The 12,218-nt window shown below is 37.7% G+C and overlaps 2 protein-coding genes across 16 annotated transcripts in view, besides 2 other annotated features; one reads left to right on the plus strand and one right to left on the minus strand.

Moving 5' to 3' along the window:
- IMMP1L (inner mitochondrial membrane peptidase subunit 1) overlaps positions 1-1,045 on the minus strand; it is a 77,222-nt gene extending 76,177 nt beyond the window's left edge. For 12 of the 13 annotated variants that reach the window (XR_242781.4, NM_001304274.2, XM_011519947.3 and 9 more), the window contains exon 1: positions 942-1,045. The gene's annotated coding sequence lies outside the window, so the exon portion shown is untranslated. The remainder of the gene's footprint in view (positions 1-941) is intronic. The other variant, XM_047426521.1, reaches the window with a different exon arrangement.
- Positions 1,183-2,072: an enhancer, noted in NCBI's record as "H3K27ac hESC enhancer chr11:31531307-31532196 (GRCh37/hg19 assembly coordinates)". NCBI's record gives its function as "activates a minimal SCP1, AML or CMV promoter by ChIP-STARR-seq in primed H9 embryonic stem cells {active_cell/tissue: H9 hESC(primed)}" and the evidence as "EXISTENCE:reporter gene assay evidence [ECO:0000049][PMID:30033119]".
- Positions 1,190-12,218, plus strand: part of ELP4 (elongator acetyltransferase complex subunit 4) — a 280,558-nt gene continuing 269,529 nt past the window's right edge. For all 3 annotated transcript variants that reach the window (NM_001288725.2, NM_001288726.2, NM_019040.5), the window contains exons 1-2: positions 1,190-1,430; positions 11,479-11,514. In NM_001288725.2, coding sequence (NP_001275654.1) covers positions 1,208-1,430; positions 11,479-11,514 — 259 coding nt within the window. In that variant the 5' untranslated portion in view covers positions 1,190-1,207. The remainder of the gene's footprint in view (positions 1,431-11,478; positions 11,515-12,218) is intronic.
- Positions 1,205-1,494: an enhancer, noted in NCBI's record as "active region_4557". NCBI's record gives its function as "activates an Ori minimal core promoter by ATAC-STARR-seq in GM12878 lymphoblastoid cells {active_cell/tissue: GM12878}" and the evidence as "EXISTENCE:reporter gene assay evidence [ECO:0000049][PMID:35858748]".

The raw sequence follows: 12,218 nt of genomic DNA on the forward strand, positions 1-12,218 counted from the left end.
TCAATTTATCAAACAGAATCAGCCCAAAAATTTCAACAGGTCAGTGAGATTTAAAACAATTCGATGGCAAGAATTTCAATGAGGTTTGGCTCTAATTAAAAGGTATCACAGATCACTGTCAAAGTCAATAACTCAGTAGTGCGGTAATGATTTGGGAGTCCTTTTCAATTTAGACATTTGTCAATCATGATTGCCTTTAAACATCAGTTACCCACTGTCCCTGCTCAGTTTTGAAAAAAAAATTAAATACAAAAATACAACTCAAAATACATGTTTTTTCCACACATAAAATTGGTATTTTAGTAATAAACTCTCGATTCAGGGTTCATAAAATAAAGTAGGTATACTTCTAATTCTTCCTAGCAGTTTTTTGGGGGAAAGAAACCCTAAGTATTTTCTGTTATTTGCAGCTGCTTTAACAGCAAACGACAATTAAATGTGTGAACAAGGTTGTCAGAGTAACACTTGTCATTTACACCGCTTAGGAAAGACATCCAAGACTTCCAGAAACACTAATTAAAATTAACAAAAGCTTCTTATCGGAACTTGTCAGAGAGCTATAGTTTGTCAGACACAGGAAAACCAGATAGCCTCAAAGTTCAAGAGTTTTCGCTCTAAGGTTTAATTCCAAACCACCTACCACTAGGCACTAACGAACTAAGCCCAGACGCTCAGCAACCAACTCATTAAGGTAAGAGATCCCATCCTTTCCATATAACACAAAATTAAGAAAAAGACATCGTGGGGAAGGCGGAGTGAATTTTCTATCAGAAATCAGAAGATAAATGAGCAGGAAAAAAGTCTATCCTCACACACAGCGGAGAAAGGTGCTAGCAATTGCTTGATAAGCCCTAAGGGTTTATTGTTTCACCAACCTTTTCTTTAACTCAATGTGAATGAAGGCACTCAAAAGGAGAAGAACGTTACGTGATATTACCTACCTCGGGCCCCAAAGAACCCTGGAGACCCTCAACCAGGACACAGGTGGGCCTTTCTCACCTGGGCCCCGCCGAAGTCGACCGTCCTTTCGTAGGGCGCACTTTTCAGCAATACGCCTTCCGATTGGTTGGCTCGGGACTGACGTCTCAGTCCTATTGGTTACGAGAGCCGCGGTTGGGGCGAGGAGGCGGGAGTTTGGCACTGGTTCTGATAGGACGGGTGTTTGCGTTCCCAGAGTTCCTATTGGGTTAACACTGGAGGCTCTAAGATGGCGGCAGTGGCAACCTGCGGTAGTGTTGCCGCGAGTACTGGGTCTGCAGTGGCGACAGCCAGCAAGAGCAACGTCACCAGTTTCCAGAGGAGGGGTCCTAGAGCCAGCGTGACCAACGACAGCGGCCCTCGACTGGTGTCCATTGCGGGCACGCGACCGTCGGTGCGGAATGGACAGCTGCTGGTATCAACCGGGCTCCCAGCCCTAGACCAGCTCTTAGGTCGGTTCAGAGCGGAGATCTGGGCTCAGCCGAGGGGAAACTTAGGGAGGGGACCTGTCGGGGAAGCCACTTTGACCCCACATCTCTTTCTGACCCCTAAACCTTCGGAGGAGGAGAGAATAGCCTGGTCTGATTGAGATGGAGGGGAATACGGGTTGTGTGGAGACTTCTGAGCGCTGTTAACTAAACATGTTTTAGTGCCCTCGCTCTCTATTTCATTCCCTGCCCTCCAACCCCTTTTCATATTACGGAGGAATTCGTACATGCTTTTTACCCTGAAATGCTTTCTAGTCAAGGGAAGACATTAATTTATGGAGATGGTTTGGCTTTCATTCAGGATACCTCCCTTCTGCTTTCTCCAGGCAGCTCACGGTTTAGACCAGCCTGCAAAAGTTTTTATAATTGTGAGAGACAGACTTCATTAGAAGATGCTGGAAAAAAATGATTTCCCCTCTTTGACCGTCAGACTGCCTGTTCTCTGGTTCTAAATCTTAAAACATTTTGGCTTTAAGAGAGCGAATGTTAAAGGCTTATGTTGACACATAATCCTTATAAAGTATTTTGAGCCTGTCGTTGATATTTAGATAGTGTCTGCGTTAAATCTGTGTATATATTTTTTATTTTTTCTATATACATTTTGCTTCCCAGTATTGATTGCTGCTACATTCCATACGACATCTTTAAATTTAACTCACATTTTAACGAGAAAAGTCTAGTTCTTAGGCTTTCCTTTAAAATCTCTGGAATTTTTTATGAGAAGCCTGCTGAAGAATATGCTTGTTTCATAACTGTTATATTCAAAGGAATGACCAGATTAAGTTGGTAGGACAGATTTGCTGTGTTAATAAAGCTTCTAGATTAATTTCTGAATGCTGTTTCATTAAAACCCCGTCTGTGTTTACATAACTTTTTTCATAGTGTGTGATATGTGTCTGTTAAATCTTGTACACTTTCATAAAATATAACTCATTGCTTGTTCTTGTACTTCGTTTGACATTTCTTTCGGTTATTTTCCCCTCAAAGTAGGCTTTTCATAGGTTTAGTGCAGAGAAAGTAAGAAGACCAGCAACCTATGAGAAAGAGTATGGCTTCTTGATTCTCTCATTTCATTTTCCGGTTATTTCTAGATAAGTTTAAGTATTTTTCACTTAATTGTTTCAAATATATTTTCCTCCTGAGTTGCATGGTACTGTAAATAGAAGTGATTCAAAATATCTAGTTAGCAAATATATAGTCCACCGTTTTTCCCTTGTGAGCCTCAGTTGATATCCTCTTACATTTGAACTTTAAGTTTGGTAGCTATTTCTAGGCCTTATATATTTTTTAATTCAATGGGATATGTAACTTCATTTACTTGATACTAAAACTTTCCAAACAAAAAGGTTATGTTTCTATTATAATGTCTTCAGTTCCTCATTAGAATAACAAAATGTTCCTAGTGTACCTCCTGGCACTTAGTAGATTCTCAGTAAGTTGTTGAATACAAGAAAAATAATGTGTAGAAAAAAACTGAGACAAGAAATTATGAAACATGTAGAATGGAGTTTCATGTTTGAGCTCTAAAAACAAATTAAGTGATATGAACAGTCTCACAAAACCAGTGACCATGTGTACTGATTGTTAGGCTTCAAATTTAGTGCTCTTTGCACTAGGCTACCGCTGTCTGAAATTTTTACGTATTCTTTCCAGGGGTTTTGACCATTTATTGAACCTCGGATTAATGATTTAACTATCGTCTCTTAAAGTACCCACCAAAAAGAGAACCCAAAGCACCTTCTATACGTGTTTCTTCAGAGATACAAACTTGAACAGTAATTTTTAAAGTTTCCGTATTTGCTTGGAATGGGAGACTCGAGTAGGGTATTTAAGTGTAACAAGCTTATGCTAAAAATTACTGTTCATTAAGATGGTAGAAACAGTATTGGTTGTTGAATACTTTGAAATATATTTTGCATGTATGCAGTGAATTCTCAAAGTGCACAAAAGTTGAAGAGGTTATAATAGAATTGACTACATCTTGAAAAATAAATATGTCCAGAAGTATTTTAGTTTTAACCTCTTAATGACATTTTTGTATCTGATTTTCTGTATAAGCAGTTTAGACTATGTTATTACTTGAAAATGTTATTTGACTCAAGTTGCGACAAGCCTAATATGACTATATTGTGACAAAAGGTAATGATAATAGGATGTTATGGTGTTAGAACGGTAAAACTATACTGTAATATTGTGATTATTGCCTGAATATATTATGTGGTTACTGTGTAACAAGTAAATATTATAGCTTCCGTGTAGTACGGTGACATTTTACTACTGCCACCGTGACGTCATTGTAATTTTAAACATGGATGCAAAATATATTTGAAAGGCATCATACATGCTAATTGTTAGTCATTTGATGATACACTGATAATTCCATTACTTATTCCAAAGCATTTCATGAATTTGAAAATTTTCAATATCTGCATTTTTCAAATGACCTAATATATAATGTTTTTGTTCTGACAACCTAATTGTATTATGAGATATTGATATACATTTCCCAAGTTAGCTACATTAAAATTGTTTAAATTCCCAGATTATCTAACCCATGTTCTCAACCTTGCCCTTCTGGGATATTTATATTGTTATTTGAGGACACTGTATGTAAATAACACTTATATTTTGGAAAAGGAAAGATAGATATTCCATCGATTGAAGAGGTACTCCATTTCTCTTCCAGGGGTTTCCAAAGAAAGATTATAGCAACTAAAGAATTCTGGCAGAAATGCCCCCTGCCCTCCGCCCCCCCTCCCCCGCCCCGCCCACCCAACCCCATTCCCTGTAAAAGGTATATACTCCATCATAGAACCATATATCTAACCTGGAAGAATTAACCACAACTTCATCCTCCAGAAAAATGCTTAAAGGAAGGGTAACTGCAGATTTGACCTCTGTGCTGTTAAATTTTGATAGTGAAGGGAATGTCAGATAGGGATTTGAGGTAAATAATAGTCTAGGAAGAGTACCCTGAAAGAAGCTTAATGGTAACAGCCATTTTTTAACATTGATGTCAAAAAGTAAACACTAGTGGGCTTATTTCCTTTATTATGTTAATGTGTAGCATGGGATAATATACATTGAGCTTGGACTACATATTTAACACAATCTTGGTTATGATATTTTACCAACCAATATAATTAGCTGTATATTTAAGAAAAATGTATTTTTTATTGCTATGTAAAATTATTTCATGTGACTTAATCTATAGAACTATTCACAGTTCCTAGCTTTATTTTGATTCTCATGTTTGTCCAGCTAATAATTGTGTCATAATGAAGAGTAGTCACTATGTTTTATAATGCTTGGGGAAGAAAAAGTAGAGTTGTTATCAAAATAACTGCAATTAAATTTGAGATCCAGCATTAATTAAGTAGTTAAGGCTATTACTATGAACCAAGGAAAGAATATGAACTTGTTTTTTACATTGCATTTTCCCAGAAATACTTTTTTGTAATTTTAAGCAAAATTATTCCTTTATATAGAGGTCTGGAAAGGACTGGCATAAATCACTGTTATCTTTCTTGACTTTCATTTCTTTTCCCTTTTACTTTCTCTAACATTGAAGAAAGGCTTTCATATTCTAGTGTATTAATTTGACCTCATTTACCCAAAATGTATAGCTTAGTCAGAGGTTTCTATTGGGGAGAGTATGGGGATTGAATGTTGTTCCTTTAAAATATTAATAGTACTAATGTAATTGTCTTACTACTGCATGAATTGAAATAACAACAAAAGCCCTTTCGTTGTCTTATGATTTTGAAAATCGTGGAAGATACTGGCATTTGCAAGATCTTAAATTTTCTAATATTATTTCTTAAGTATTAAATATCTTTTCTGGTTTTAAGAAAAAATGCCTATTTTTAAAATATGTGAAATCTTGATGAAATTAATTGTCTAAAATATCAAGCTTGCTGAGTATCTTTAACCTTTCAAACCTTTATTTTGATTCTCATGTTTGCCCAGCCAATAATTGTGTCATAATTATTGAAGAGTAGTCATGATTCTTTAACCTTTCAACCTCTTGTATTCTTTTGTGTACATAAAGTACTCTACTTTTATTTTTAGTAAGATGGAAATAAGTATACATCTTAAAGACATCTAGAAGTAAAAACAAGAGTTTATTTGCTGGCCAGGTGTGGTAGCTCACACTTATAATCCCAGCACTTTGGGAAGCCAAGATGGGTGGATTGCTTGAGCCTGGGAGTTTGAGACAAGCCTGGGCAACATAGAGAGACCCTGGCTCTTCAGAAAATACAAAAATCACCCAAGCTTGGTGGTGCACACCTGTAGTCCCAGCTACTCAGGAGGCTGATGGGGGAGAAGCCCTGAGCCTGGGGAGTTCAAGTCTGCAGTGAGCAGTGATCACACCACTATACTCCAGCCTGGGTGACAGTGAGACCCCATCTCAAAAAAAGAAGAATTTATTTTGCTTAGTGACTTAGAAAGTGTGTTGGTAATTTTTCTAAGTTAGGATGAAAGGGGAGAGGAAATAGTAAACAAGGCCGTTTTACTACTTTCTTGCCTGTTTTCATTATAAAAATAAGATGATTGTTTGCTTACCCTATTACTTATCTGTAATACATTGTATTGGGAAAAGATATTTCAGTTTTAATTGGTAACTATTAGTGTGAGGTCTATGTTGCTTTTGGAATTAGATAAAATTACTAATGGATTACTAAATTTAAAAGTAAATTAAAAGCCAGCCTTCAAAGAATATGTCAGGATACTCTGTTGTGATTGGTTGGTTGTTTTAGCTTTTTATTTATTTATTTTTTGGTTGGAGCATGGCTACAAACATTCAAACTTTTAAGTTAAAATACAGCTAGACCTTCCATTTATCAAGTAAGAGACATCAAAATACCTTATACAAAGGTATCTTGTGGAAATGTTTTGAGATCATGTCTCACTAAACTCAAGTTTAGAAGAATAGAGAAATTTTGCTGCTGTATGCATGTGTGTGTGTGTGTGTGTGTGTGTGTGTGTGTATATATATATATATATATATATGTATAGGTCCAAATTATTCCTCTTAAAACACATAGAGTAAAAGCTTGATTTTTAAAAGCTTTAGTTAATAAGTTTAAATTAGTTAATGAGTTACATCTTATTCCCCACAACTATCCTTCACAGTGACCAAACTTTACTACAGCCAATCTAAATGTGAATCTAGTGAATTTACATGATAGAACCTTCTTACCTTTTTGTAAAAGAAGTTTGAGAAGATATTTGGTGATAAAAATGATTTTAATATGTCCCCATTATGTCTTAATGTTCAAATTTTCTAAACATTAGAATTTTAATACACATAAGATTTTTTAGGTTATGTGGTCACTCATGCCTGTAATCTCAACACTTTGGGAGGCCAAGGCTGGAGGCTAGTTTGAGCCCAGGAGTTCAAAACCAGCCTGGGCAATATAGTGAGACCCCATCTCTACAAAGAATCAAAGAATTAAAAAAGAAAAAGAATTAGCCAGTCATGGTTACATGTTCCTATAATCCCAACTATTTCAGAGGCTGAGATGGGAGGACCCTTGAGCCTGGGAGGTTCGAGCTGCAGTGAACCATGATTGCACCACTGCACTCCAGTCTGAGCAACACAGCGACACCCTGTCCCCACCCCCCACAAAAAAAAGGAATTGCCAAAATGGTAAAGGTAGCTCTTTCTGAGTACCTTTCTGGGCCAGATACCTCTACTTGGTAATCACTTCATGTAATTGGAAAACTGTTATGTGATCTGTTCTCATTGTCCCATAGTGAATGTTAAAAAATCTTTACTTCTGGCTGGGCGCAGTGGCTCACGCCTGTAATCCCAGCACATTGGGAGGCCGAGGCGGGCGGATCACGAGGTCAGGAGATTGAGACCATCCTGGCTAACACGGTGAAACCCCGTCGCTACTAAAAATACAAAAAAATTTGCCGGGTGTAGTGGGAGGTGCCTGTAGTCCCAGTTACTTGGGAGGCAGAGGCAGGAGAATGGGGGGTGAAACCAGGAGGCGGAGCTTGCAGTGAGCTGAGATTGCACCACTGCACTCCAGCCTGGAGGACATAGCAAGACTCGGTCTCAAAAAATAAAAAATCTTTGCTTCTCTGTCTGTCCCAGTGGAGGCCTTATATAAATTCCTTATTTGAGGAGATGTAAGTGTAACTCAGGAGGTTAGATAAGAAACCTAAATCCTCCCTATAGGAAATAGGTTAAAGTAAGAAACTTTTTAATAGTGCCTGCTCTAGCTTAGACACCATAATGTCTCTTGTATGCTTATATCAATTCATCTCCTTATATGTACAGAAAAAGGCTATTGGGTAATTAAATGTTTATTTCTGCATTTAAGGGAAAGTAGGAAAGTAAGGAAGTGTGATATAAGATGTTCAAATGAATTATAACATTAGTGTGGCACTATGAAATTAAACATTTAGTCTAATCTTATCCCAAAGCAAACCCTTTGTTCTGATCCATTTGTTTGTTTGAGACTGGGTCTCACATTGTTACCCTGGCTGGAGTGCAGTGGTGCGAACGCTGCTCACTGCAGCCATAACTTCCCATGCTCAATTGATCCTCCTTCCACAGCTCCCCAAGTAGCTGGGACTACAGGTGGCAGCACGCCTTGCTAATTTTTGTATTTTTTGTAGAGATGGAGTTTTGCCATTTTGTCCAGGCTTGTCTCAAACTCTTGAGCTGAAGTGATCTGCTCACCTTGGCCTTCCAAAATGCTGGGATTATAGCCGTGAGCCACTGCACCCGGACCTGATCCTTTTTGATGGCTATCATGATGTACATTTCAGCTTATGTTTATCTTTTCATCTGAAGATAAAAGTTATCCTATGTAGTCTGTTGCGACTTTAAATGCTATATGAAGGAACCTGTCTGAATGTGAACTTAAAATATAAAGTCTTGTAAATATATAAACTTAAACATTAAAACATTTAAATATACTAGGTTTTTTCATTATTTCCTTCCCTAAGAGTTTGAAATGTTCTACATATTGTCATGAAATTGATGTTTAGCCTCACTGTAAATCGCTTAGCACAAGTCTCATGTTGCATATTATTCTAGGCGCATGTATGTTACCAGATTTCAAACTGTTTAACACATAATAGTTATGCTTTTTTGCAAGGCAAAAAATAAACACTATCAAAGGAACTTTTTTTTTTTTTGAGACAGAGTCTTGCTATGTGGCCCAGGTTGGAGTGCAGTGGCATGATCTCAACTCACTGCAACCTATGACTCCTGGGTTCAAGTGATTCTCCTGCCTCAGCTCCCCCGAATAGCTGGGATTACAGGAGCGGGCCACCACATCTGGCTAACAGGGTTTCACCTTGTTGGCCAGGATGGTCTCGAACACCTGAGCTTATGTGATCTGCCTGCCTCGGCCTTCCAAAGTGCTGGGATTGCAGGTGTGAGCCACCGTGCCCAACCTATCAAAGGAACTTTTGTTACTAAGTTTTTCTGTATGACAAATGTGACTACAAAACTTTTTTGTGGAAAGTTCTTTATTAGTGTTCTAAATATTTCTTTCAGATTTGTATACAAAAAACAAACAATTAACATTGACTCCAGTTGTCCAACAACTTTGAGTAATTTTTTTTTTTAATGGAGTCTCACTCTGTCACCTAGGCTGGAGTGCAGTGGCGCGATCTCAGCTCCCTGCAACCTCCCCCTCCTGGGTTCAAGCAATTCTCCTGCCTCAGCCTCCCAAGTAGCTGGGACTACAGGCGGCAGCCACCGCGCCCAGCTAATTTTTTTTGTATTTTTAGTAGAGACTGGATTTCACTATGTTGGCCAGGCTGGTCTCGAGCTCCTGACCTCATGATCCACCCGTATTGGCCTCCCAAAGTGCTGGGATTACAGTCGTGAGCCACCGCACCCGGCCCAACTTTGAGTATTTTAAAAATTATACTTTAAATACATTTCTACTCTTTGATACTCATTTTTTAAAATTTTAAGTGAATTTGTGTTTGAGACATTAATCAAAATGGCAATAGTTTTACAAATGGAGTGAAGAGCAAAGTATAAGTACTCAAATGTCTTAGTGTAGTGCTAATTTCTTTAATTCTTTTTTTTCTTTTTTTTTTTTTTGAGACAGAGTTTCGCTCTTGTTGCCCAGGCTGGAGTGCAATGGTGCAATCTCGGCTCAGTGCGACCTCCACCTTCCTGGTTCAAGCGATTCTCCTGCCTCAGCCTCCTGCGTAGCTGGGATTACAGGCATGGGCCACCACGCCCATCCACTTTTGTATTTTTAGTAGAGACGGCGTTTCACTATGTTGGTCAGGCTGGTCTCGAACTCCTGACTTCAGGTGATCCGCCCGCCTCAGCCTCCCAAAGTGCTGGGATTACAGGCGTGTGCAACTGCACCTAGCCATAAAATTAATTTTTAAATTGATTTTTAATGATTCACCATTTGAATTATATATTTCACATATTTCATGATTATATTACCATAGTTCAGATTTTTTTTTTTTTTTTTTTCTGAAACAGAGTCTCACTCTGTTGGCCAGGCTGGAGTGCAGTGGTGCAATCTCAACTCACGGCAATCTTGCCTTCCAGGTTCAAAAAATTCTCGTGTCTCAGGCTGGGCACGGTGGCTCACACCTGTAATCTCACCACTTTGGGAAGTCCAGGCAGGTGAATCACGAGGTCAGGAGTTCGAGACCAGCCTTGGCAACATAGTGAAACCCCGTCTCTACTAAAAGTACAAAAAATTAGCTGGGTGTAGTGGTGGGTGCCTGTAATCCCAGCTACTTGGGAGGCTGAGGCAGGAGAATCACTTGAACCCGGGAGGCAGAGGTTGCAGTGAGCCGAGATTGTGCCAATGCACTCTAGCCTGGGTGACAGAGTGAGACTCTGTCTCAAAAAAAAAAAAAAAAAAAAATTCCCGTTTCTCAGCCTCCTGAGTAGCTGGGATTATAGGCATGCACCACCACATGCAGATTATTTTTTTTGTATTTTTAGTACAGACAGGGTTTCACCATGTTGTCCAGGCTGGTTTTGAACTCCTGACCTCAAGTGATCCGCCCACTTCAGCCTCCCAAAGTGCTAAGATTACAGGCCTGAGCCACTGTGCCCGGCCTAATTCAGATATTTAAAAGAACACTAGTCTAGTAATACCGAAAATGTATTTTGTGATGATATTCTTTTTTTGTTTGAAATGGCAAATACATTCCTTTTAAATTGTAAATATATTTAGAGCATGTCCAGACTTTGTGTATATTATTCATAATAAAAAAGAATTAACTTTAATTATCAGATCTTTACTCAGTCTTACTAAATTTGAAGATAAATATTAATGTGGAATTTCTATAATAATCTTTGTTGTACTTCTGTAGTAGTTAAGTTACTGTACACATTTAAGTCTTGAGTATTGAGTTAATTTATTAACAAGTGCTAAATATAACATTATTGGAGTCCTTAACCACAGTTAGGTTGAATGCTGTGTGGTTCTATCATAGAAGAAAGGAGGATAGTACAGTATATTATGGTAGTAATTTTAGGCCGGGCCTGGTGGCTCACTGGCTCACGCCTGTAATCCCAGCACTTTGGGAGCCCAAGGCAGGTGGATCACGTGAGGTCAGGAGTTCGAGACCAGCCTGACCAACATGGTAAAACTCCATCTCTGCTAAAAATACAAAAATTAGCCAGGCGTGGTAGTGGGCACCTGTAATCCCAGCTACTCAGGAGGCTGAGGCAGGAGAATTGCTTGAACCCAGGATGGGGAGGTTGCAGTGAGCTGAGAGGAGATTGTGCCACTGCACTCCAGCGTGATCAACAGAGCAAGACTCCATCTCAAAAAAAAAAAAAAAAGTAATTGTAATGTGTAGTATGTAATTACATATAATATGTAATTATTTCATAATAGCACCTTGAGCAAAGTATTGCAAAGGTAATTAAAATGTTGTTCACAACTACTGTTTTAAAGTTATTGAAGTGCCTTTCCTTCATAAAGCCTAACTTTTATGCTAAAGGTAATGGAAAAGGTAAATTAATTTTCTTCTGGTTTTGTTTCATTTCCAGGTGGAGGTTTAGCCGTTGGAACAGTTCTTCTAATTGGTTAGTACAAAATACATGCTTTGCTCTCCTCTATCATTGTTTTCTGTTGTGCATAATCATTTTATCCAATTCCCATTCCAAAATTATTTAAATCACTAACACGACAGAAGTTAAGATAAATTAGAGAGGAATTGACTTAAGTTCTATTTTAAATTCTAATGTTGAGCTGAACTTGAAATAAATTAGGCAAATATATCTGAACATGTAGCTCTTATAACTTAAAAATGTTCATAGTTCATTGTGCTCCATTTTTTTAAAAAGACTAAAATTAATGTGAATTGATTTTTTTGGAGAACCTCAGTATTTAAAGTGGGATTATTACAGGGATCAATTTGGGAAATTGAAATACCAAGTCCATCGTATATATCATATCATTTTATCATTATCTTTTTATTGAAACAAAAGTAACAAAGTAGTAAATCATATTTTAGTTCATCTTTAAAGTGGCAAGAGTCCTAATTTAAGTATATAACCATAATTGCCTTCCTTCTTTTTTAGTATATATAGGTCACAGAATCTTGGAATTGAAATAAACCTTGTCAGTTATATAATCAAAGCAGCCATATTAATATTTAATTCATGTATCTGTAACATATCTATTGTTCCTACTTTTGTCCTCTGATATAATATAAATTTACGTAGTTTTTCACGTGACACCCTTAAAATATTTGAAAATACCTATTTTTTCATCTCAAATATTCTCC

Source organism: Homo sapiens, chromosome 11, assembly GCF_000001405.40.
Source record: "Homo sapiens chromosome 11, GRCh38.p14 Primary Assembly".
In the NCBI taxonomy this organism is placed as follows: Eukaryota; Metazoa; Chordata; class Mammalia; order Primates; family Hominidae; genus Homo; species Homo sapiens.